At 40.7% G+C, this 26,530-nt stretch overlaps 1 long non-coding RNA gene across 2 annotated transcripts, besides 1 other annotated feature; it reads left to right on the plus strand.

The window, feature by feature from the left end:
- Positions 1-1,625: 1,625 nt before the first annotated feature.
- Positions 1,626-23,477, plus strand: LINC01204 (long intergenic non-protein coding RNA 1204). 2 transcript variants are annotated; one of them, NR_104644.1, is made up of 4 exons: positions 1,626-1,703; positions 6,735-6,833; positions 17,846-18,086; positions 20,972-23,477. It is a non-coding gene; the product is annotated as a long intergenic non-protein coding RNA 1204 (long non-coding RNA). The 2 variants fall into 2 exon arrangements; NR_104645.1 differs by lacking the exon at positions 20,972-23,477 and having other exon boundaries at positions 17,846-19,882.
- Positions 2,732-3,931: an enhancer, noted in NCBI's record as "P300/CBP strongly-dependent group 1 enhancer chrX:45365739-45366938 (GRCh37/hg19 assembly coordinates)". NCBI's record gives its function as "activates an origin of replication core promoter dependent on BRD2, BRD4, P300/CBP, MED14 and CDK7 cofactors, with strong dependence on P300/CBP, by STARR-seq in HCT116 cells {active_cell/tissue: HCT116}" and the evidence as "EXISTENCE:reporter gene assay evidence [ECO:0000049][PMID:35650434]".
- Positions 23,478-26,530: the final 3,053 nt, after the last annotated feature.

Genomic DNA, 26,530 nt, shown 5'->3' on the forward strand with positions numbered 1-26,530 from the left:
GCTGTTGGGTACACCTCCCAGATGGGGTGGCGGCCGGGCAGAGGGGCCCCTCACTTCCCAGACGTGGCAGCCTGGCAGAGGGGCCCCCCACCTCCCAGAAGGGGTGGCCGGGGGGGCGCCCCCCACCTCCCAGACCAGGTGGCTGCTGGGCAGGGGCACTCCCCACCTCCCAGACCGGGCGGCCGGGCGGAGACGCTCCTCACTTCCCAGACTGGGCGGCTGCTGGGTGGAGGGGCTCCTCACTTCTCAGACGAGGTGGCTGGGCAGAGGCGCTCCTCACTTCCCAGACTGGGTGGCGGCCGGGCAGAGGTGCTCCTCACCTCCCAGACGGGGTGGCGGCCGGGTAGAGGTGCTCCTCACCTCCCAGAGGGGGCGGCCGGGCAGAGGCTCTCCTCACATCCCAGACGGGGCGGCCGGGCAGAGGCACTCCCCACATCCCAGATGATGGGTGGCCAGGCAGAGACGCTCCTCACTTCCTAGACAGGATGACGGCCGGGAAGATGCGCTCCTCACTTCCCAGACTGGGCCGCCGGGCAGAGGGGCTCCTCACATCCCAGATGGGCGGCCAGGCAGAGACGCTCCTCACTTCCTAGATGGGGTGGCGGCTGGGAAGAGGCGCTCCTCACTTCCCAGACTGGGTGGCCAGGCAGAGGGGCACCTCACATCCCAGACGATGGGCCGCCAGGCAGAGACACTCCTCACTTCCTAGACGGGGTGGCGGCCGGTCAGAGGCTTCAATCTCAGCACTTTGGGAGGCCAAGGCAGGCGGCTGGGAGGTGGAGGTTGTAGCAGCCGAGATCACGCCACTGCACTCCAGCCTGGGCAACATTGAGCACTGAGTGAGCGAGACTCCGTCTGCAATCCCGGCACCTGGGGAGGCCGAGGGGGGCAGATCACTCGAGGTCAGGAGCTGGAGACCAGCCCGGCCAACACGGGGAAACCCCGTCTCCACCAAAAAATACAAAAACCAGTCAGGCGTGGTGGCGCGTGCCTGCAATCCCAGGCACTCGGCAGGCTGAGGCAGGAGAATCAGGCAGGGAGGTTGCAGTGAGCCGAGATCGCGGCAGCACAGTCTAGCCTCGGGAACAGAGGGAGACCGTGGAAAGCGGGAGATGGAGAGGAGGGAGAGGGGAAGACCGTGGAAAGCGGGAGATGGAGACAAGGGAGAGGGAGAGGGAGAGGGAGCCTCTTATTTGTTCTTATAACCCAGTTGTGGTCTCTTTAAGTTTCTTCATTTGAACTTTCTGAGTTGAATTCTGTTTTCTATTGGGATCCAAACTGATAGGATGATTCCTCTATCTTACAGTACTTTCATTGATAGTACTAGATGTAGAACAGTACTATAGAAATTTAGAGAATGAAGAACAAAAATCTTGATCTTACAACCTCATTGCAGAAATGGGAAAGACATAAATACACACACAGGGATGTTAAGTCCCCAAACCCAATAAACAAGAGAAGAATCAACCCCATATGTACAGAGACAGGTGCAAGATGCACACAAGTAGGAAAGTGGGGAAGATAAACATGTTTCTCTGAGCCTCTGTTCCGACCACAGTGTGATTCACAAGTGCCTGCTTGTGCTGTGAGCTCTCCCATAGGGCAAGATCATCATAACACAATGTCACCCCAGGGAGTGCCCACATTTTAGCTTGCTTGTTGCTGGGGAAAAGACTTGCTGCTTTGTGTTTCATTTGATGAAGGTAATGCTTCCTTATCAGAAATTCATTCCATTCTAAGGTACTTTATGTTTTCCTGTTTCTCCAAAGTCTGTCATTTCCTACATGGTGTATATCTGTTTCCCTTTGTCATGGTTTAGAGGAAATACCACATTTCATGAAGATTTCATTTATGAGAAGGAAAAATAGCAGTTTTAATACTGTAAGTATTTTGTTGTTGTTGTTTTCTGAAGCAACGTAGTGAATCTCATGCATGATGGGCCAATGCTCCTCTCTCTGTGACTTCCTGGGGCATGTGCCCATGAACTGGGTGATGAGCCTCTTTGCAGACAGATATTGTTCTTTCATTTTGTTTTTATACAGTGGGGTGTATATCTTCAGCCACTCGTAGCTTAGTGCATTTTCAGTCTTGTTTTAGCCACTGGGCTAAACTGAAGCACAAAGGGCTCTTCATAATATCTTCCCATTATGGATTTGGGGCAGGGGGGCCTTACAAACACTTTTCTGTGGCTGTGTTTTGGATGGGCCCAGAAAAGCTCATTTCAGTGGTGTCCAGGGATACGTTGTTAGCAATCACTCAAGAAAGCCCACAGGGCAAAAGCTCTTGTAAAGCATTAGGATTTTACTTCTCTTAAATTCTTCAGGTAATATAAATGAGGAGAAAACTCTGGGAAGCCCCAAAGGAGGGCCTCTTGTGTTACTGTAATATACACAAATTTAATTTAACTGCACTTCAGAATTCATTTATTCATTCACTTAACAAAAATATATTAGGCACTTACTATGTGCCTGACACTAAGCAGGGTATGAACAACATTTAAAGTCAAAAAGGAATGGCCTTGGCCTTGGTCCTCAAGAAGTTTATAGCCCTGTGTCTTATCTGTTCACTACCATTTAAAGGCAACCCCAGAAGACAAATAACCTTCTTGGACTTATTTCTTAAGTTGTTCCACTTGTTTTATCACAGGCTATAAAAAGTGGTATTGTACATTGCAATTTTATCTTCTTTATTTTATTTAAACATTACAACTACTCTGTGAAGTCAATCCAGTTAGTATAACATCCTCCATTTTAAAAGTTAGGACTGAGATACTATGTAAGCCCAAAGATTTACCCTGCAGTCACAGTTGAGAGAAGTCAGGCCCTGAACCTCACTTGAGAAAAGCCTTTGCTTTCTCCACTTTACCACTGTCTTGTACCTGGCCTCTGTTACTATTTTCTCGATGTGTTAATCTTGTTCGTCACCTAGAAGACCTTAAGCTGCTAAAGGCTCAGTGTCATATATTCTTTGAACTACTCAAAACATTTAACACAATGTTGAGCATATTGTTAATCCATATGGATTGGGTGTATTGATTTAGCAAAATTTAAGTTAAACTTTGAGATATGATTGAGAGAACTGACAAGGTAGTTCAAGCTCACCTCTCCAGGACCTACATATTTGAAACAGCATTGGCATTGACTTCTTCCTTTCCAAATGACATTCTTCTGGATGGGTTTAATTTACTGTGGGTTAGGATAATTGGGAGAGGATGAGACCACTACCTGGGAGAGTTAATGGCTGAAGATATTACTCATATTCTTCATTGGAAGTTAATGCATGAGTAATTCTCGAGTGGCTTAACCAGGCCCTAGATTTCACTGGGGAGATTATGATTTTAATTTAACATATCCTGCCATACAGTGTGTGAAATATGCAGCCAGCAGCGATCGCTATGAGATGAAAGCCCAGTTGTGTTTATTTTAAGAGACTTGTGGTTCTTTGCCAAAGCCAACATTCCTGGGCAGTGAATAGACTGAGTGAATCATTCAAAGTAGGTGAGAGGTCACAAGCCTGAAAAAAAAAGAAGAAGAAAGCTGAAAGCTTTTCCTGTCAAATAGCAACCTTTGAAAAGGCATTTATAAAGCAAAATCTATTATGGAAATAGGTCTTTTCAAGATGAATCTTCTGCCTGTAAATCCTAAAGAATTCTTCTTTAGCTCCAGATAATTAGCCCTGTTGTTGTTCACCTTTCCTGGAAATCAGGGCAGAGAAATACTCTAGTTCCTATCTCTGGCTCTGGACAATATGCCCTCATTAGAGAATAGAACAGTATCCATGTTCTTTTTTTTTTTTTTTTTTTTTTGAGATGGAGTCTCGCTCTGTCGCCCAGGCTGGAGTGCAGTGGCACGATCTCGGCTCACTGCAAGCTCCGCCTCCCAGGTTCACGCCATTCTCCTGCCTCAGCCTCCCGAGTAGCTGGGACTACAGGAGCCCGCCACCACGCCCGGCTAATTTTTTTTTTTTTTTGTATTTTTAGTAGAGACGGGGTTTCACTGTGTTAGCCAGGATGGTCTTGATCTCCTGACCTCATGATCCGCCTGCCTCGGCCTCCCAAAGTGCTGAGATTACAGGCGTGAGCCACTGTGCCCGGCCAGTATTCATGTTCTTGAGGGCAGTATAGACACTTTATTTGTGAGAAGCAGGCTGGCATACTGCCCATGACTTTAATGAGTGTCAGACAAATCTTCATCACCAACACTGGATTCCTTATGTATCAAGCATTATGGAATATCAACAAGGGCCAGGCATGACATTAAAGGCTCAGGATATGACAACTATTTATTAAGCACCTACTGTGTAGCAGGCATCTATTTAATCCTCTCCCATCGAATAAGATGGGTATTCTAAATTTCCACTTAGCAGATGAGGAAACTGAAGTTTGTGGAAGTGAAGTCACGTAGTTGGTTAGTGATCAAGATAAGATTCAATACTGAGAAGGAAGAAAAGAACCCTTTCTACTACCACCAACAAAAATAGTGGAATAAAAAAGAGTATGCAGTTCATTCTCTGACTATATGAAATGCAACTTCTATCTTTATATGAACGACAAACAACGAACAAAGCAAATCCTGCCATTCACTATACCGTAGAACATCAGGATGGAAGATGCCTTCTGTGAGCCCAGCCTTAAGAGAAATCAAAAGGAAACAAATCACAAAAGATACACAAAGTTGGGCCTGTGAGTGAACAGGGCCGGAAACTTGAACTCCAGTGACATGACATGCATAGCAGAAATCCATCCCAGTTATCCCTTGAGATATTCCTTGAGATGAAATGCTGGAGCTTCCAGAGGCTCCATTGAAAATACAGGGCCTCTGGAAGGGGAACTCAATAGGCTGTATCAGATTTTCCCTAAATTGTTTCATTTGGTAATTAGTCATCATCTTATGGAGCAGGAAGAACCTGGCTGAGGGCCCAGTGGGATGAATCCCAGTGGGATAGACTGGCGCACCTCACTGAAACTGGGTATGATGGAAAGTTCTGGGGCAGGAACAATTTAGGGAAAGCAGTTCCAGGTGGAGGGCAGTCCTTGGGAAGCAGGAAGGCTCCTTCTCAGTGGTGGGGTACAAAGCTCTAGAAGGGAGTCTCAAGTAGAAAGATGGAAGTTAAATTCACCAGAGCTCATCTGTGGGGGCAACAGTGAGGGTGAGCAGTTGGGGAGCATCTTTTAAAGGTTCACATCTGGGCTGTCAATTGAGTTTTGGTGGTGATAGGGTGTGGATTGTGTGTTCACGCACATGCAGGTAAAATTTTCTTTTAATGAATATTTTGTCAGAGCCTTCACTTTCCCTTTTATTACCCTTCAGTGGATACGTTGGGGAACATATACTGGAAGAGGCTTTTGAGAGCTGTGCTTTGTGGGAATATTCTTGGCAAGCCCTGAGTGTAGACACGGCCTCAGCTGATGATTCTCCAGGGAAACCTGGGTGTTCCCTTCATTTTCAGGTGGGGGATTTGGAGACAACACAGACCTCTACATGAAGGACTGATGCATGTGTATGTTCAGGAGGGGGTTGGGGAAACATTTGGGGGTGATTTTCCTCTGGTCCCTTATGGCTTTGGTGGTACCTCCTGTCTTCCTTTGTTTCTCCCCATCTCCCTGACCACTGTCTCCCTAGCCCCCATGCCAGATTGATGGAGGTAGCATCTTTTGTGATTTATTTTCTTTTACCCTTTCCTAAAACCTAGCTGATTGAAGACACTGCCCCAGTCATTTCCAACATACTCTGCTGCCTCTTCAGCCTGTCATGGGCTCTCCTGATTCAGAGCAGAGGTGGATACTGGCAAGGGACAGGCAGCCCCTAGATGAAGGTTGAGCTGATGGTGGCTGCTTTTACATAGTTTGGAGAACAGGTGAGAGAGAGGAGGGCAGCAGTCTCTGGTACAGAGCCCTGGAGGGGACAAAGGAGCAGCAGCCACAGCACAGCCTGTGGGGAGGGAAAAGGAGAGGGGATTGTGAAGCTGAGCATCTAGCTTCTAGCCAACCTATGAACTACAGAGCTGGCTGTAATCAGCTCCATACACACTGCTTCTTCTTAGAGAACATACAAAGCAAAGCATGAATGTAAGTTGATCATATATATAATTATCAATTATGTATTTAGCATTTGTTTATGTATTTAATGAACACACATAGGATTGACTGTATCCTAGGCGTTATCCTAAGGGCTTTATAAATAATAACTCACCGAATTCATCACAACTATATGAAGTAGTACTAACATTATCTTCATTTTACAGATTAGTAAGTGGCAGAGCCAGATACAAACCCCCAAGAATAATGTACTTTGCTACATTACGTCTTTTGCTAGCATGTCAATGAGAAAATGAAGGAAGTGCCTAGCACTAAATATACCATGTAAAAATAATAATTGTCATTATTATTATTATTAGCTAGTGCTCCACTCCTATAATACTTGCAGATGGCTTAAGCACCTGTGAAGAAACAGTTTAGCACAGTTCCAGCTCTGGAAGCCTCGGTTCAGATATTGATTCTACTACTCATTAGCTGTGAGATATTAGACAAGTTACTTAATCTCTCTATGCCTCAGTTTCTTAATATGTAACATGGAAATGATAATAGTCTTTGCCTTGTCGGTTTGTTGTGCATATTAAATAAGGTAATGTTTGTACAGCACTTAGAAAAATGCCTGATACACAGTAAGTGCTCAGTAAATACTTGTTCATGTTACTACTGTTTCAACTGAATTAAATTAATTTTCATTTTTCAGAGCTTCTTTTCATTTAGTCAGTCACTTATTTCCAGAGATTTCCTGGTGATGTTGCCTCACATTTATTTGTGGAAATGCCAGTATGTTTTAAGCTTGCAGGTGAGTTACTCCATTTAATTTTGAAGTTGCTGGGGCAGGTATTGTCCCCTTGTAAAGAATGTGGAAACTGAGGCCAGAGAGATGAAATGACTAGATCAAGCCTATATAGCCAGTCATGGTAGGTTTTTGACTAATATTCCAGAGCTCTTTCCAACATATGCACACCCATACCTATCCCCCTACCCACACACAGACACACCCTTGGTCTCCCTAATCTGGTGTCGCCTGACCTAAATTCTTAAATCTCTTGCTGTCCACATTAGTAGAGACCTATTTTCTCCATGTGCTTCTTTGGAAGATGATGAAGAAGTAACCCTCTATAGACTCTGCTCCCTCCTTCTCCCCTTTTCCCTCCATTTCACATTTACAGCTTTAGGGACTCACTAAAGCCTGCTTTCAGGGCTAAGAGCCAGACCATTTCCTATGTGGGATTTTCAGGGAATGATAAAGGTAACAGGACTAGAGACTGCTTTATCATGAATGTTGTTTTTTATGTCAATGCTGAGCCCAAATCATGGACCTCACATTTAATTTTTTAGGCAGTAAGTTTGGACTAAATCCAGAGCTTGGCCTTTTACTTTCAGCACTAAGTAGAAGAGATATGAGGGCTGATGGATTGGAGAGGCCTAGTTGGAGAGTGACTGGAGGGGCTGGACTTGGCCTTGTGCTGCACGGAGATCTGCCTTGAGATCCAACCAAGGACTCTGGGAGGAAAGAGAGGTTTGGGTTTTGGGGATATGCCTGTTGCTTCTAGGAGGGCAACTGGGGTTCCCTTGCATATGGTTCCAGATCAAGTTTCATCTCTTTGGCCACAGGACATTTTCTTAAGCTCCATGGCTGGGTAGTTGCTGCCTGGAGAGGAGGTGTTTGCTATAAGGGCCTCAGCACATGGAAAGTCTGCTGCATTGGTGTCACCCTGTGCTCTCCAACTAGCCCTTGGCCCCTTATGCTGCCCCCATCCCCTGCTTTCTGACCAGAGTCCTCCTCAAAATACAAATCTTCTTATATCCTCACTTGATATAAGAATAACTACTGTTGAATAACTACTGTTATTGAATAACAACAGTATAACTTGAATAACTACTGTTCTCTGGATCTAGCTTTGTGTTTTCTAACCTGGTAAGCAAATTCTCACAGGGCTTTGTGGTCGTCAATGATCATGGATTTTAATGTCACCTTCCTCATGTTAGTCAGAGTTTTCTGGAAGCAAAACCTTACCTGAAAAATTGAAGCTAATGATGGAATTTCAGGCACTGGTATAGACCCCAATGCCTTTCAAATGATTCTACCCAGAATGCTTACTCTTCTGCCCACCCATAGAACCAACTCTGAATTCCTATGTAATCAAAGACATAAGCTTTTTTGATGAAAACCCTAGAAAGGTAGTACAATGTGGTGGTTGGATGTTCTCACTCATAAGTGGGAGTTGAACAATGAGAACACATGGACACAGGGAGGGGAACTTCACACACTGGGGCCTGTCGGAGGGTGGGGGCTAAGGGGAGGGAGAGCATTAGGACAAATACCTAATGCATGCGGGGCTTAAAACCTAGATGACGGGTTGATAGGTGCAGCAAACCACCATGGCACATGTATACCTATGTAACAAACCTGCACGTTCTGCACATGTATCCCAGAACTTAAAGTAAAAAAAAAAAAAAAAAAAAAAACCAAAAACCAAAACAAAACCAAAAAACACAGGTACTCACTAGGAAAAAAAAAGATTAATTATTCTTATGTAAGCTGTCTTTACGTAATAAAGCTAAATAAGTGAAGTGAATCCAGGTACTACTTAAATTTTAAGGAAACACTTTCAGAAAAAAAAATGTGGTGGTTAAGATTAAGGATCAGGGAAGTGAAATGCATCCCACCTTCATTTACGTTTTTCAACCCATTCTGTCTAGTGTGCGCCACTCCATTCTCCCTGGTCTCCCTGATTATACATTGTTTCTTTCCAGTTTCTTCAGGCTTGACCCCATGGTCAGTGACGGGGACTTGGCACAGGTAGGGAACAATCTCTCTGTGTAGCTTACTAGCAGGCTTCATTGCCTGTGAAGGTGCTCAGTCATAGCCCATGCAGCAACTCTGCATGGTTAGTCTGCTGCTGAAAGGATGCCTGCTTCTGCATCACGATAGAATTTAGTTGTGGTTAAAGATCCCCCCAGTCTTGAGATTCTGTGAACCTTCCTGCCTCCCACCTCTCACCTTCACCAATGACTGGCCCTCCTGAGTGAGGCTGACAATGGAATGTGAGAGGCAGATGCTGAAGTTCCCTCACCCTTCTCTTAAGCACTGTCTGTGGAGATGAGAGGAAGTTCATGATGGAAAGTCACCTCAGCAGTGAGTGGTTTGGGAGTAGTAAGTAGTATTCGTTTCAAATGCCAAACTTAATTTGAAAAGGTAGCCTCATAATGAATGTCACTGTGCATGGGAGTGTTCTCAGGGATGACTCCATTTTTCTGGGATGACAGGTGGGAAGAGCCACCCAGGACTTAACAATGACGCTTCTGTGTGACAGACTGGACAGAAATCAAGCATTCTCCTGAGGCCATGACTTTTATGTTTGTCTCATGAAGTCTGAGAGAGGCAGTAGATTGGAAGAGGGGGAGTTACATGCCACAAGCAACAGGGGGCAATCTGTTCAGCGATCAGGGAGAATGGAGTGGCAATAAATCCTTGCCTGAATGCTGCGGACAGGAAAACCATGCCCCAGATGGCAGCATAAACATTCCATTATGCATCAGATGCTTGGCAGAGGACATTTGGGTCCTTGCTTTCTTCCCCAGGCATCAGAACCTTCCCTCTGAGGGCCCACAGACAGAAGATAAGGCCAGATGCCAGGCCCCAAAGGACAGGCAATGAAGCATAGTAAAAAATGGGGGCACTAGGTGAGGATTTTAGGTCTAGTCCACTGTTTACCAACTGTGTGACCTTGGGCTGGTCTTTCAATCTCTCTGAGCCTTTCTGTCTTCATCTGAAAGATTATGATATGATTTCTACTTTGTAGGGATACAGTGATGGCTAGATGAGCATCATAGGTTGTGTTCTGCAGAAGTAGAGCTTGCAGTAATAATTCTGTGCCAATGATTTATTAAGAACGTGCCCCCAGGGGAGATCAGTAAGGCAGTGGGGGAAGTAAGACAGGGGTGAGAAAGAAGCTAAGCAAGTCTCAGCTTCAGCTTGATCCTGCAGGAGAGCTCAACAGGGTACATTATACACTCAATTAACTCAACTTGGAGGGTGTTGGCTTTCCTATTCCAGTCAGTTACCAGCCAAAAGCCTGAAGGTAAGGGGTGGTGGTGAATGTAAACTCCCAGGCATTTCCAGTTCTCCGTATCTGAGGGATGGCTCCAGGTTTGGTGTGGGCTGTTAGAAGCCAAAGGACGCTGAAGCTGGGAGAGGAGTTCATAGAAAAAAAATATAAGGAATAAAAGGATCTGGACCAGAAACTAAAAATTACAGTGTCTAAGGGAAAAGCCATTTCTTTCTTCCACTAAGCACACTGTACTCTGTCCTGGAATGAGACAGAGAATAGACATACTGAATGGTCCATATTAATCCCTTTCAGAATCGCCTTCACTGTGTGGTGCTTCATACTATGAAAGACCAGCAAGGAAAGACATCTAGAAACACATCGTATTAAGAAACATTAGGTTTGTTGAGCTAGTTGCCACAAAAGAGAGAATACAGAGGAATCCTAAGGCCCTTGGAAAGAGGGAGCAGGCAGGGGCCCCTCATTGGGATTAGGCTTACTCCAAAAGATTCTCAGGAGGAATTAGGAAGCAGGGACCAATTATGGATTGGACGCTCTCAAGAAGCAGGGGCAATTTTGTGTTTGGGCATCTCAATAGTTTTTATACAGAACAAATAAGGCTGGAGCTGTCACAGGTAAGGGAACAGCAGTCACTCATGTTATTCAGAGAAGGAGAACGTTTAGTTATTTTTGTGATTACTGGGTGGCTTTATCTTTATCTTGTTCCAAATATGATCATGGAATGGTCTTGTCCCAGCACTGTTTATGTTAGTTGAGAACATCATGGTCTGGCTGCCAGCAGGACCATTTCTCACTCTCTCTGGTTGTCGGCAGGGATGTATTTTATTTCCTTCCTCAATGGCATATACTTTTTTCTCATCAAAGTTAAAAGAAACAGCCCTGCTAGTTCTACAGCAGCAGTACAAATTCTAAGGAGCATGCTAGCCCTTGTGCCACCTGGAATATGGCACAAAATATCCCATAGGAATTTCATTCAAAATTTAATACCAAGAAAAAATATCTACTTAAGGAATGATAGTCTTTCTTCTTCATGATAGCAAGGTCTAGGCAACACATCCTACTTTTTTCTTCTTCGTCTGCCTTTTAGGATGCCCAGAGCCATATTTGAAGCTCCTTTGACCTTTTTGGTTTGCACATATGCAGTCAATTTTCTCCCTGATATTAATTTTCTATTTCTATTTGGCTATTTTTTTGTTGTTGGCTTCTTCAGATCAAATTGGTGAAGGAATGAATAAATTCTGCATTAAGCCATGTTGCACAGCTTGAAGCGAACACAAAATTAGATCGTGCATTAGTTCCCAGTTATTTTATGAATGTAACGTGCCTCTCGTAATTTAAGAGGAGAGCATCTATCTTTTCTTTCTTCAATTTCCTTCCTTCCCATAACATAGCACAAAGAAATGTTAAATAGATATTATTTGGAAACTTTGTTTTTGATGGAAGATAGTTTGGGGATTCTTGCAGGCAGACAGTAGAGGTCACCATGGAGCTGTGCATGATGGAGCGGCCTCTCATGGACCTGGTAATTTAGCTGGATCGGTCTGAAATTGCATGAGGTTTAATCATTCAATTCAGATGAGTATACTTTTTGCTCTGGTCATTCAACAGACAGCACTTTGTGATGGTTGCCTTCATGTCACTTTGCTAATACAGTTGTTTGGAGGAGAGAAAGCAGCTTTTATATATTGTTTATTGAAAAAAAAAAATCCATCTTAAGCACTAAGGAACTCTGGGAAAAATGGTTACAAAATGTGTTTACTTAAATATTGTGAAACGAGGATGGAAATTCGCAGTGCAGGGTATTTGTCATCTGCTCATGACTAGCAGATGGCCGCCTCCTCCTCATCCTCCTTTGCGAGCCGAGTGACTCACATCTTACAGGGTGTGCAAAATGAAATTTCGAAACTCTCCAGAGTAGAGGTGGCAGTGCCATAACTCCATGCAGGAGGAGTGTGCCAGCCAGATTACTTTGCCAGCCAGCATGCTGCCAAAACTTCACAAAATGTCTCTCATTGGAAAAAAAAAAATGCGTTTGGATGTCTCTCCACACATGTTCAATCCACCATCTCTGAAAGGATACAGGGTATATTTCAGGCTGTGGGGAAGCCTGTGTGGGTGAAAGGGAGCAGGTGGTCTGCCGGCCCGGAGCTGGGTAGTAATCATTTCTACCAAGGTGAATCACAGAAGATGGGCTCACCTGTTTTGGCTTGTCAGCCCCAGAATGTTTGCAGGTCTGCCTCCAGCCATCAACAGAGCTGTCATATGCTCTAATAAATAAGAGATTAAATACAGTTTAAAGAGATACAAGTCATTTACGTTCAAAGTTTTTCTTTTTCTCTTTTGTTTAATTAAAAGAAACTCCAGATCTGCTACACCAAAAAATAAAGGCTGTATTACAGGCAATTGTACTTGTTTTAAAAATAGAGCCCTGCCAGTCAGGTGGACTAACAGATAACTTGATTTTTAGCTGCAGATTCTACTTTCCTTCATCTGATAGCTAGTCACCGAAGATTTCTCCCTCATCTCCACCCCCCACCAATGAACTGCACCTCCCAATATTTACCCCTTTGTGTAGTATCCTCCTTTTGAAGTCAAAAGAAGTCTTTGAGCTTTCACCTGGGTCTCTTGGAACACGTGCTCTGGAGGAAACCCACTGCCATGTAGGAAGTCTGACTACCCTGAGACCTCTATGTTTTGAGGGAGCCACATGTCACATGAAGAGACTGCATGGAGAGAGAAATTCCTGGCAAGCCCCTAGGTGTTTCAGGCTGTTGAACAAGATGTGACTAAAGAAGCCATCTTCAACATCCAGCCTAGTTGAGTCTTCTGATGACTCCAGCCGCCATCTACTGCAACCACCTGAGAGAACCCAAGAACTACCTAGCTGAGCCCAGTCAACCCATACAACCATGACAGATAATAATACAGACGGTCCCTGACTTATGGTGGTTTGACTCATGATTTTTCAACTTTAAGATGGGACACAATCATTCACATTCAGTATGCTCTTTGACTTATCTTGGGGCTAAGTCTGAATAAACCCATCATAAGTTTAAAATATTACAAGTCAAAAGTACATTTTCAACTTATAATGGGTTTATCCAGATGTAGCCCCATGGTAAGTCAAGAAGCATCTGTAAATTATTTTAAGCCACTATGACGTTTTCCCCAAAACATAGATAACCTAAACACTGTGACACTTTACACACACACACACACACACACACACACACACACACGAGAGAGAGAGAGACAGTGAGAGAGAGATCAAGTGGCTAAACAGTAACTGATTAGCAGATTATGTTAAAACTTAGTAGTTGGAAGCACTTTTGTTGTGGCTTGAACCTCAAATATTTTCTAGGAGACCTTAGACTCTAGTGGTATGATGAACAGAAACTCGTGAGTATATATAACACAGTGAATTTAAAAAATGCTCTTTGGTGCTGCATGAGATGGGGGCATACTCTATGAAGCTAAGGAGTAGCAGAGAACCTGGAAGTAATTAAATACAGCAGTACACTTGTCAGCCGTGGGGCCTCCATTCTTTGTTTATGTTGAGTACCTAGCCATCTGAAACATGTAGGTAACTGGAAGATGAAAAAAAAAGGTCCTGACAAGTTATTTAGAGTAATGAAGAGAGAATGTTATCAAAAAAGATTAAAGGTTCTGTATTAGGAGAGCCTAGCTGAACAATGGTTAAGGAATGGCAGCATGCAAGAATGTTAGTGCCAAAGAGAAAGACACATATTAGTCATTTGTAGGATCGGGTTACAGCCAATGAGAGAGGGAGAAGAAGGGGCACAGAGAGCAAGGGAGTCAAGAGGAACAGACCTAGGATGTATAAATGGTAGCATTTTTAGGTTAAAATCTTTCCAGTCAACCACAACCGTTACATTGAAACAAGCAAAGTTTGGTGTAGCAGAAAGGGTACCAAAACACAAATTGGAAGGTCTTTGTTCAGCTACTAACAGGTAGTATAAACCTGGCAAGTCACTTATCCTCTCCAGGTCTCAAGAAGACATATCATAAATTATAAAGGATTTTACAAAGGCAAAATATTATTGTGAATTATAAGAAAATTAGGAGTTGTACTTTATGAAATCTAAACTTCCTTTCAGCTGTAAAATCTTGTGATCCTAAACTATGAAAACAGAAGACAGTTTTAAATTTTAAAAATTAGATAACTAGGCTTGTAAACTGAAGTATGTATAAAATCTGTTATTGAAATTAGGTAATACATATAGAAAAAAATTTAGGAAAGGGCAAGGATCTTTATTTTATTTCCTGATATATCCCAAGCATTTTGAACAATGCCAACACGTGGCAGGCACTAATAAAAATACTTGTAGACTACATTAATAAGCAATTCCTGAAAAACCTAGGGAAAAAGTGACCTAAAAAGTAGTCATATCCACTATGTCTGTCCTTATCTTTTGTTTTTACAAGTTTTTCTCAGTTCTATTGCTTTGGCAGACACTGATAGCCAAATTTCTAAACAATACTTAGTCTTGCTTCTCTTTCTCATTTTAAAAGATAAATAAGGAAGCATATATTTTTCCCGATTAATGTTAATTCCTTAACTTATGATTTTTTATTTAAACGTTTTTAAAGAAAAAATTCAAACACATAAAGTAAATAGAATATCCCTTACCCAGATTCCGTAATTATCCACATTCTACAACTTTAGTTTCATTTATACTTCCACTACTTCTTACTCCCACTGGACTATATGTGATTGTGTTTTAAAGTAGATTTCCCCCCATCTAATAAAACAGAAGCTATTAACTGTTTAGTATTCTGCTTATCTTATCCTAGTGTACTCATTCGTGGTGTTTCAATTTCCCAATTTTTCAGTACATTACAAAGTTGCAAAGAACATCCCCAGGGTGCTATTTTTTCTGACTCTGGATTAAGTAACATTGCAATAATTTTAGAAAGGCTCTCTCTTAATGATTCCTTTGTATCTAGGGTTTCATAGCTCTTCTCTTTAGAAAGGGATTCACATCAGTCAGGGTTCTTGGTTGCAAACATCAGAACTTACTATGGTTGGTTAGGCAGAAAATATGTCTAACATATATTATTAGATGTCTCAATAGAACCTCTTGGAGGAACAGACCAGCCTCAAAGATATATGGGAAGGCACAACACCAAAATGATGCTGCAGGATGGGTCCAGAAAGGATGCCACCATTGTGACCACTGGGCACAGACACCACAAATTGTCCCATTGATCCTGGACATGGATGCTGAACTGCTGCCATCACTGCCCCTGAAAGTCATTGCTTCTGCCATCATTTTCTTTAGAGACTGGTGAGACTCCACAGAGTTTAGAGACTCCACAGTGTCTGTTTCCTCATATTTGTCTCTTTTAAACTCATGTGAGTGCACCTCATTGGCTGAGTCTAATACAAATATTTACACCTTAGCTTCAAGAAAGGCTGGGAAAGTGAGTTTGGGACTCCTGTGTTGGGAAAGCAAAGCTCATAAGGTGAGCCATTCCTCAAACTCAGGTGTTCCAAAGGTCTGGATGGCTGCAAATTATGACATGTGTTTATTAACATATCTTTAAATCTAAAATGATCTTTGAAGGAATTCTTAGACTGTATGAAAGGGAAAACACAGCTGACATTTTTACCTCCATACTATGAACAATTTGTTCATTTCTTCTAAGGTTAAAAAAATTGCAATTCTTTTTTTTTTTTTTAAGATGGAGTTTCACTCTCGTCGCCCAGGCTGGAGTACAATGGCGCGATCTTGGCTCACTGCAACCTCCACCTCCCCAGTTCAAGTGATTCTCCTACCTCAGCCTCCCAAGTAGCTGGGATTACAGGTGCACGCCACCCCACCCAGCTAATTTTTGTATTTTTAGTAGAGACCAGGTTTCACCATGTTGGCCAAGATGTTCTCGATCTCCTGACCTTGTGATCTGCCCGCCTCAGCCTCCCAAAGTGCTGGAATTACAGGCATGAGCCACCATGCTTGGCCAAAAATTGCAATTCTTTTAGTTTTTTTGTTGTTCACCTATACTATTTTACCTTGCTTTAATATCTTTTATCTTCTAGATCCTCTCTAAAACCTTCAAACCTCTCAATCATCTTAGAAGTCTTCCCCATGTAATAGCATTCCCTCTTCTTCTCAGCCTCCCCTGGTCTACCACCTTGTAGTTTTTCCTTTTCTTTTTTCTTTTTTGTATTTTACTTTAAGTTCTGGGATACATGTGCAGAACATGCAGGTTTGTTACATAGGTATGCATGTGCCATGGTGGTTTGCTGCGCCTATCAACCCGTCATCTAGGTTTTAAGCCCCGCATGCATTAGATATTTGTCCTAATGCTCTCCCTCCCCTTGCCCTGCCCCCCCAGCCCCCGACAGGCCCCAGCATGTGATGTTCCCCTACCTGTGTCCATGTGTTCTCATTGTTCAACTCCCACTTATGAGTGAGAACATGCATACTACCTTAAAGTTTTTCTAAAACAGTTTTATTCTAAGCCATTCTTTGATGCAATATTTTCTTTGCTGTACAATTTTCTCTCATTTAAAGTATATTTTTCTAAGGCATATATGCTTCCCTTGATAAAGAAGGATGCATCTCAGATGCTACAAAAAGATGATGTTAACTGATATATGCTAACTCACTCTACAGTAGTTTTACAATTGTGGGCATGTTGAGATATTTTTACTAAGTTAGCATAGTGAACCATCTACTTTCTATTAAAAAAGAAGGAAAAAAAACAGACTAAGGAGATAAGACATTCGCTCTTGTAGACTTATGAAAATATTGCAGAACATTTGTAATTTATATCAAACCTCTTTAGTTTGCCCTACACTATGCCTTATGTCCCTTTATGCTGCTTACTGAATGAATACGCTCACTCTTTCAAATGAAATTTGGATAATAATTTTAATTTCAAATGATAGACAAAGATCACTTTACCATATGTGAAAAAATATCGAAATGTGTTTATTACACATTATCAGGAGCAATAAAATAAATATACCAAAAGGTCACTCTGGAAAATGATTTTGTGAATAAAATAACATGGCAGGCTTCCCCTGAGAGATATAAAGCATGAAACCACCATGAAAAGATTTATCTCTCAGTTGATTTTCTTCTCTGTATCACTAAAATACCAAACTCAGCTACTTACATAATAATCAGTGTAACAGTCATTTTTAAATGTTTGAATTATCCTCTACTTCCCTTAAGAAATATAATTTAATAGGCAATTCAGTGAAAATATACTATTGAAATGTTTGGACTAAAATCAGCCATGAGCTAAAGTCTGTTTTATACTGTTCAGATTTTTTGGGGGGAGGGGGTGGGGTCTTTGTTTTTCATCAGTGAATGCAAATGAAACATTTAGGAGACAGAGGTCAAACGGAATGTCAATGTGAAATATGAATAAGACCAATTTATTCTGACTAGTAAGCTTTTGAACTTTACTAAAACAGTTTCGTGATAGTAAAGGATTTGAATATTTCACATTTTTTATTGCTAGTTTGAGAAAAATTATTAAAATATAATTCCTTTCCATCAAAATGTTACACTGAAAAGGCTTATTCTGAAACAAACAAAAAATGAGATTTACAATCTCCAATAGACAGCGAGGGAGGTAAAAGAAAAAAAAAAAGCAAGAAGAATTTAAAATAAAGATACAGTTTGTATTAGTTTTGTATTGTTGTGGAACAAATTGCCACAAATTTAGCAGCTTAAAACAATACTTATTTATTATATTACAGCTTCCATAAGTCAGGATTCCAGTCACAGCTTAGCTGGATCCTCTCAGAAGGCTACGATCAAGGTGTCAGCCAGACTGAGTTCTCATCAGAGGCTCGACTAGGAGAGGATCTGCTTCCAAGTTCCCTCAGGTTGTTGGAAGGATTCATTTTCTTGTGGCTAAGCTCACAGGAGCTTTCTTCTTCAAGGGCATCAGGAGAGTGGAGAGCGAGTCTACTCAAAGACTTCTATACAAATCATAAGGTAATCACATGAGGGACATACCATCATCTTTGCCATATTCTGTTGGTTACAAACAAGTCACCAGTTCCACCTGCACTCAAGGGGAGGAGATTATACAGGGTGAACATGGGGGCCATCCTAGAATTCTGCCCACTTTACAGTTGAAACAGTATTTTTTAAAATGCCAATGAAATCCAAGATAGACAGTTTATCTTGGATAAACTTTTAGCACCTTTTGATTAACATACCTGTTGGACTTTACAACTGTAAGATTAGTAAGCACAAGATTCCCCAGTATTTCAAGGATTTAAAGGGAACATGGTAAAAAGGTACTCTTTGCTATGCAAAATCTAGCCATCTAGCATTGCTGTGGCCCTGGCCAGTTTGCAGCTCTGGCCAAAAGAGGGCTGCTGAGTCCAGCCCTGTCCACAGTGTATACGGGCACACCTGACTACATCATGCACAGCAATCCTGTTTGTGGCACCACTGATGAATTACCCCTATTCAAGTGAACAGGCATTGAGACCCTAAGGGGACCACAGGGTCTGGTTCATTCACCACAAACACAGTCTTCCTTGAATGTTAGCAATGAGTTTAGTCATCTCATTAGGAGACTTGAACAGAAGTGAAGGTAAACACTATTCATGTCAGAAAAAAATATAACGTGGTAGGTAGTAAGATATGTAAACAAAGGACTACAGTTCTCTGCCTTTTGAAAGCATACCTGTGCTACTTGTCTGAAGTAAAAAAAAAAAACAACTGTGCATTATTCTGTATGAAGCATCTTTTGCATGTGTTCATGTGTATAAACAGGATTATGGGTTATGATGTAGGAATTGAGGATAAACTACATTTTATATTTTTTCATATTGTGGAAAGAAGAAATAAACTATACTCCTGTGTTAGCTGGATTCTCTGAGAAGCAGATGCTGAAATTGAATTAGAAGGGCAAAAGGTATATTGGGAAGTAACACCTGAGAGGATGCAGGATTTGGCAAAGAATGTTGTGTCTGCACAACTCTACGTGACCCACAAAAGTCATACATCTGGCCTTTAATTTTTTAAAAGAATCAAGAAGCTCTATGGTTTTATAGTATCTGGCTCTTGTTTATAATGATTAGAACTATCTCACAGAACCTCAGGGACTTAGGCAAATTCTCAGAGGTTGTCTATGCCAACCCTTCATTGTTAGACAGGGATGCATCAAATCACCCTGAGTGTGGGGAACATTTCCACCTTTGCGATGGCCCAGGTAACTGGTTTTACAAAATCCTTTGTTCAGCTGTTTCACTAAGAGGTTGTAGACATTGGAGTCTTCCTAACTAAATCACGTCTACTCCAGATTAAGAGTAGGATAGTATTCTCTGGTGGCTACTTTCTTTTTGCCAGTCCCTCACATGTTGGGGTTCACTAATATCTTCTTCTCTTCTTTCTTATGAGTCTTCCCAAGAACTCATTCAGCCCATAATGTCAATAGTGCCAAGGTTGAGAAATCCTGCTGTATAGAGACAACTCCCATTTCACATCCTCTGCCCAGGTTTCACTCCCAGGCTCCACATGCCAAGATGAGGAATATTTAATCTATATTCTAAATAGAGTAAAAAGCAAGGTCATCAGATGAAAAGGTGTTGGGAGCAAGACTGGCTTATTCCATTAAGCATAGTAGTCTAAGTGCCTGCTTGGGACCCACAATATTTTCAAGGGCCCATGAAAAATGTTTTAATTTTAATTTCTTTTGAAATCAGGAGGAAAAAATGAATATTGTAACAATGAATACATAATAATAAATCACACTTGGATTGTGTTTGTCTTTATAACAACTTGATGATGAAACATAATTTTTAGTATTTTTTAATAGAGGAAGGGACCCATGAAGGCAGAAGTATCCAGGGCCCACAAAAATCATAATGCAGCCCTTTTAAGGAGGAAGAGGAGGAACAGGAAATTTGGAGTGGATAAAGTGTGAAATATCCTTGTGGGCAGTGGGAAAGTAGTTTGAGGAGAGAAATGTAAGATTTTCTGTAAGACTGCCAGGTAGTATCAAATGCCCATTTGGGGTTGATATGCATCAACTTATAAGCATACCAATTTGTCTGGTAGTGTAGTTCCCTAGCAAAGTTTAGCTGCATGGGTATGGCACAAAGTGGGCAAATGTTTGAAAATTTCCAGTGCTTACCATTTGGAGTAAGGGAGAGAGAAGCAAAGGAGATAACAGAATTTCCAAGAGAATGTATATGAATTTATATAGTAATGAACGGAGGGAGCTAAGCTGGACAAGAAGTGAAGTCAGAATCAATTGGATCAAAGTGGAAAAGTCAATAATCAATCAGGTTGAAAAATGGTAATCTATGTGTGAGATTTGGGGAAGGTAGCATGTGCTCAAATATGCATTCATCAAGAGCTAGAAAATGTGATAATATAGATGAGTTACTTTGGGAAGACCTTGTCGATTTGTCAGATTTCTTGTTAAAATACGTATTCTTGAAAAGGGAAAAAAAACTATGTTCTTTTCAGTTAGCACCTTAGCTTATAGCTAGCTGTAACTGAAATCTAATAAGCAGTAGGACCCTGAACATGAGCCTAGGAAGCAGGCCAATTCAAACAAAGATCCATTTGCCAAAAAATCTACTCAACTTGGAGAATGGCCAGCATGATAAATTGCCAATTGTAGTATTACTTAGTCACCAAACATTGTTTCTGTTTACCAGTATAAAATCTGTAGCAATTTATGTTGAATGAGACAGTTCACCAGCCACTGAAGCTTTTCAAATGTTTTATTTTAGTTAGTATAGATCAGCTTAGGTTTCATTTTTAATTTACTGCAGCCATTTTACCATAGCCCTTTTGCAATAGATTTGTCAGTTCAACTCAATTGAACCTTATTTTCTGTGTGATTCACATTTTAGACATCAAGTACTCTTCAACTGCCTATTGGGAGACAATTTCCACAGCTCTCTCATGTTTCTGCACAACTTGTAAGCAAGACAAGACTCTCTTATCTTCTGGACTCTATTTTCAAGAATACTCATATAGTGAACAGTGTCTTCTTCCTGAGCGAAGGGCATAAATGCTACTTTCCATTTTAAAAGATTCAAGTTCCCTAAGCTCGGAATTCTTCTGTAATGCAACCCATTGTGTGTGCAGGTATCACCTGGCATTCTTCCCATTACCCTGTGGGAATTGGAGCTCAGGGAACCTTCATAGAAATTCTGATAGTCTAGCTACTGCTATTTCTATGAGTAATAAATTGTTTCTGACCTAGAAGTCTTGTGTCTTCTGCTGGCACCCATGAAATTATGAGGCTAAATTGTTAGATTACAAGTGAGGTAAAATCTTGGACGCTTCCCAGTTCTTGACACTGACTAAAATACATGCATATTCGTTTTATCAAGTCAGTTTGAAAAAAAATCTATGAATTAAAATAATTACAAAATTCTAAGGACTGAATTTGTAATATATTGGATGAACAAAACCCTCTACCTTGGTTCTGAAATTCTTGATAGTTGAGATATGTGTAACATTTGTAATTTGAAATACACAAGTAATTCTCTATTTAAAAGGTCATATATCCAAAGTATTGAAAAATCTAGAATACATTAAACTTTAGCTATCCATGGTGAAAGGCAGTGGCAAAACAGCTGCAGAAAAGCTGAAACTAGATTCAATTAAATCTTTGTGCCAAAACCAAGTGCACAAAAATCTCCCAAAGCTGTTAAAACTATACAGCTTATTTGCTATAAATTTTATAAATGGTTAAATAAAACAAGTTTTGAAGTAATTTGGTAAATTGACAAATTTTTCACTCATTGATTTGTTGTAGCTAATGAGGGATGGTGGGGAGTGGAGAAGGGTTCAGAGAACTTGGGAAGGATATAAAAATGGAGGTATGTGGGGCAAATGCCCCCAACTACATGTTTTAATCAAGAACACCAGCCTATGATCAAGGGAATTTTCATATACAGATGAGAGCTAGTCTCACTTGATCTTTCTGCATTAAAACTGTTACAAAGCAACTTCTTTATCAAATGAATACAATCACATTTAGTAGAGGCTCTAGTTAAGACCTGAGGCTATACTGACCTGGGTTAGAGACCTGGCTTTTACATTTTTACCTAATCTCTCTAAGCCTTAATTTCTCAGTTTTAAAAGTGCAGGTAATCATAGCATGTGTTTCCCAAGGATGTTGTAAAGATTAGTGTCAGGATGGCTGAGTGGTGTAAGGCACCAGACCCAAGGATGTTGTAAGGATTAATTGAAATATCCACTTGAATTGCTTAGCATGATACCTGCTATGTAGAAAGTGCTTGATAGCCTTAACAATATATATCATTAAGAAATTTCCTTGGAATGGGAATTTCAAACCACTTTATCAAATATACTTACTTCCTCACTTACTTTTGTGGTTTGGTAGCTTTTTCTTTACACATTTAGGAGGTGGGGAAGCACAGAGATATAGCACTTTCTTTTTTTTTTCTTTGAGACAGAGTCTCGCCCTGTCACCCAGGCTGGAGTGCAGTGGCGCCATCTTGGCTCACTGCAACCTCCGCCTCCCAGGTTCAAGCTATTCTCCTGCTTCAGCTTCCTGAGTAGCTGGGACTACAGGTGCACGCCACCAAGCCCGGCTAATTTTTGTATTTTTAGTAGAGAAGGGGTTTCACCATGTTGGCCAGGATGGTCTCGATCTCCTGACCTCGTGATCCACCCGCCTTGGCCTCCCAAAGTGCTAGGATAACCGGTGTAAGCCACCGCACCTGGCCAGATATAGCACTTTCTAAAAGGTCTATAAATCTTTCTAAAGATTAATATTGAGTGGGATCAATGTGTTTTAGGGAATCCAGATACTGCACACCACTTTGCAAATGTTTAGATTTTAGCAGAACAACAAATGGACTTTGCAAAGACTGTCTTTTAATTATTAAACCTCTATTTATTAAAAAGAAATTAGGCCAGGCACAGTGGCTCACGCCTGTAATCCCAGAACTTTGGGAGGCCGAGGTGGGTGGATCACCTGAGGTCAGGAGTTCAAGACCAGCCTGGCCAACATGGTGAGACCACATCTCTACTACAAATACAAAAATTAGTCGGGCATGGTGGCAGGCACCTGCAATCTCAGCTACTTGGGAGGCTGAATGAATTTACAGGTAGGAAGGCACACATTATATAAGTTAAAATTCAGTTCAACTATGAGTGACAGAAAACCCTAATGAGTGGTAGCTTAAACATACAATGTTTACTCCCTCAAACAAAATGTCTGCCTGATATGTAGCTGATGTGAGGCTCCATGGTGTCAGGGTCCCAGGTTTCTTTTATCTATGGCTTTGCCATCTTTATCACATGAACCATAATGACTGCTTGAGTTTCTTATGGTCTAAAATGGTTTCTTGAGTTTCCTATCCCCATCCAGTCAGGAAGAAAAAAAAAAAAAAAAAAAAGGAATGACTGATGAAGCGCTTGCTTTTATTTTAAGAACACTTCCTGCAAGTTGCACATACCAATTCTGTTTGCATTCTTTTGGCCACAACTTACCTACTTGGCCATGCCTAGCTTCAAGAGAAGAGAAATGTAGTCATTATTTTGAGTAGTTATATGTCCAGATGGAAATCAGGGGAGCTATCACACACACACACACACACACACACACACACACACACACACACACACACACAAAGCACAAAACAGATACTGGGGACAACTCATCTTCTTTGCCTCATACACTGAAATTAAGCCAGATTGGTCTTGTTTTTGAAAGAAAGTAACACTGTTAGTAAGAGAGACTTTGGTATTGTCTAATCAAACTTCTCTCTTTTTGTGGATGAGACTCATGTTGTCTGAGTTCAAGTTCAGATATCATCCATTCCTTGAGCTTGTATGTGTGATACTACACACTACAACCTAGCACAGAGAGGATGAGAAGACAAGAAATGAGAACTTAGGTGTTACTTAGTATTTATTTATAATAGTAGTTTTAAAAATGCTGTCTTGACACAGTTTTGAGGCCCTGGAAATAACATTTTAAAGTAAAAACGTTAAAGTTTAAAGAAGAGCTTTGCCACTTAAACGGGGGAGTTTGTCTGGAAAATATATTGAGTTGAAACACTTCATCCTTGGAAGGATTATATACGATGAACAATTGCATATAAATGTGTGTTTTAGAGAGATGTGAACGGGCAGTTAGTCCAGTGCCCTCATTTAAGAGGCCAAAATCCTGACTCAGAGGAGGTGTCCTTTGCCCAGAGCTTCTTAGCTAATCTGACCAAATGTTGGGAAATATATCTTACCTAACCTACTATTCCTTAATTATGGATTTTGTGGAAAACAATAAAACATGTTAATGAGTAATTTATATTAGTTCAATTTATTACAATTTTTTAGCTTTAAATTACAGTTTTCTTATAATGATGAAATGTTTTAGAATCCTTTGAATCTAAGTATTTACTTATTTCCTAAATAAAACATTAGTACAACATTTGATGTTTTACTTATGAAATATCCTCCTCTCCCAAGATAATTAAAACTTTTTCTTTCTATTTAAAAGCTAAGAAATGATGTTTTAAAGGAAAAATGAAATTATTTTCTTTTAGCTTCTTTTAAGGTAAAACAGCTTTTTTACTCTGTTATTGTGGTAATGGACAGAAAATTGCATACCAAAATATTCTGGGAGAGCATTCTCCTAGTTGGTTTTAAATCATTGTGCTACCTGAAAGGTTTTTTGATTTTGTAGGAGCTATTTTGTCCACCAGCATTAATGTGACACTAGTTATGAAAATATATTGAAGGACAAGAAGTGGACACAAAGTGATTTTTGTAACCTGGGCAGTTAATGAATGTGCCAACGTTTTCGAGGAAGGGACAGCAAGAATATTCTGCCCTGTAGTTAAAATACTGGCTGGCTTTTAATGTCTTCATGCTTAATCGTGATCACTTTCTTGCACTGTGATGTTTTTACGTGAACATGTTAAAATGGAAGTCTACCATATTACTTTATAAAATGTTTTCTGTATGCCAGTAAACTGAAAATATGGATCAACAACAACAACAAAATGCGTCTTGACACAGTTTTGAGGCCCTATGTAGGGGTTAGTCAATTTTCACTGAGCAATCGGTTAAGCCCATATCCCCAACCACCTCCCTTATGAGACTCTCACCCTCCTGGCCACCATACACTTTTCCTAATTACTCTAAGGGCAGGTATCAGATAACCAGAGGCAGCTCCTATACCCTGGAGCCCACTGAAAGTGCTCAAATTAGTCAATCCTAAGCCTGCGTATCCTGCCTCATCCATTCCTTCCTGCAGAAACCACAATAAAGACACTTGTCTTCCCTCTTCCTTTGCCTCACGACCAACCTTGGTGCTTCCCCTGAGTGGCCCTGTGTGGCATATTGTGTTCTTCCCAGAGAACTGTCAGTATAAGAAACTGTAAAACTCTTTCTGGTTTCTGTCTGTTGATCTGCATCTGGCCTCACCAGGTAATATAACTAAAACAGTATTAAATTAATACTGAGTTGGAAGAATAACAATTTGTATTTAATATAAATGCTTTTCCAGCCATAATCTTTGAGGCACAAATGAAATAATGGATACAACTTTAAAGAATGACAATTCCTTGTAAATGTAGGGTATTATAGTTGACTCTTAAACAACATGAGTTTGAACTATATGGCTCAACTTGTACATGAATATTTCTCAGTAAATATATTTGAAAATGTTTTAGAGATTTATGACAATTTGAAAAAAACTTGAAGATGAACCTTGTAGCCTAGAAATATCTAATATTTTCTAAAAGTTAGGTATGTCATGAATGCATAAAATATATGTAGACACTAGTCCGTTTTATCATTTACTACCATAAAGTGTACATGAATCTGTTATTAAAGTTTGTTAAAATGTACACAAACACTTAAAGACTGCACATGAGAGAAATGTAAACAAATGTAAAGATGAAGTATTAAATCATAATTGCATAAAATTAACTGTAGTACATACTTTACTACTGTAATCATTTCATAGCCACCTATTGTTGCTACCGTGGTGAGCTCAAGTGTTGTGTATTCACTGAAAACACCATTTGGTGCTAATCATCTCCACAGGAGCAGTTCGTCTCTCTAGTAAATTGCATATGGCAGTAAAAAGTGATCTCTCACATTTCTTGTGTATTTTTCATCATGTTTAGTGCAATACTGTAAACTTTGAGTAACATCATGAGACCTATATGAAGTGCCACTAATGATGCTGGAAATGCTCCCAAGAAGCATAGAAAAGTCATGACATTATGAGAAAAAGTTGATTTGCTTGATATGTACCATAGACTAAGATCTGCAGCTGCAGTTGCCCACCATTTCAAATGAATCCACTGTAAGGACCATTATATAAAAAGAAAAGAAAATGTGTGAAGCTGTCACTGCAGCTATACCAGCAGGCACAAAAACCTTGCACTTTTTGCGAAATACCTTTTTATCTCATATTG

The sequence above is a fragment of the Homo sapiens genome, chromosome X, assembly GCF_000001405.40.
Source record: "Homo sapiens chromosome X, GRCh38.p14 Primary Assembly".
Lineage (NCBI taxonomy): Eukaryota > Metazoa > Chordata > Mammalia > Primates > Hominidae > Homo > Homo sapiens.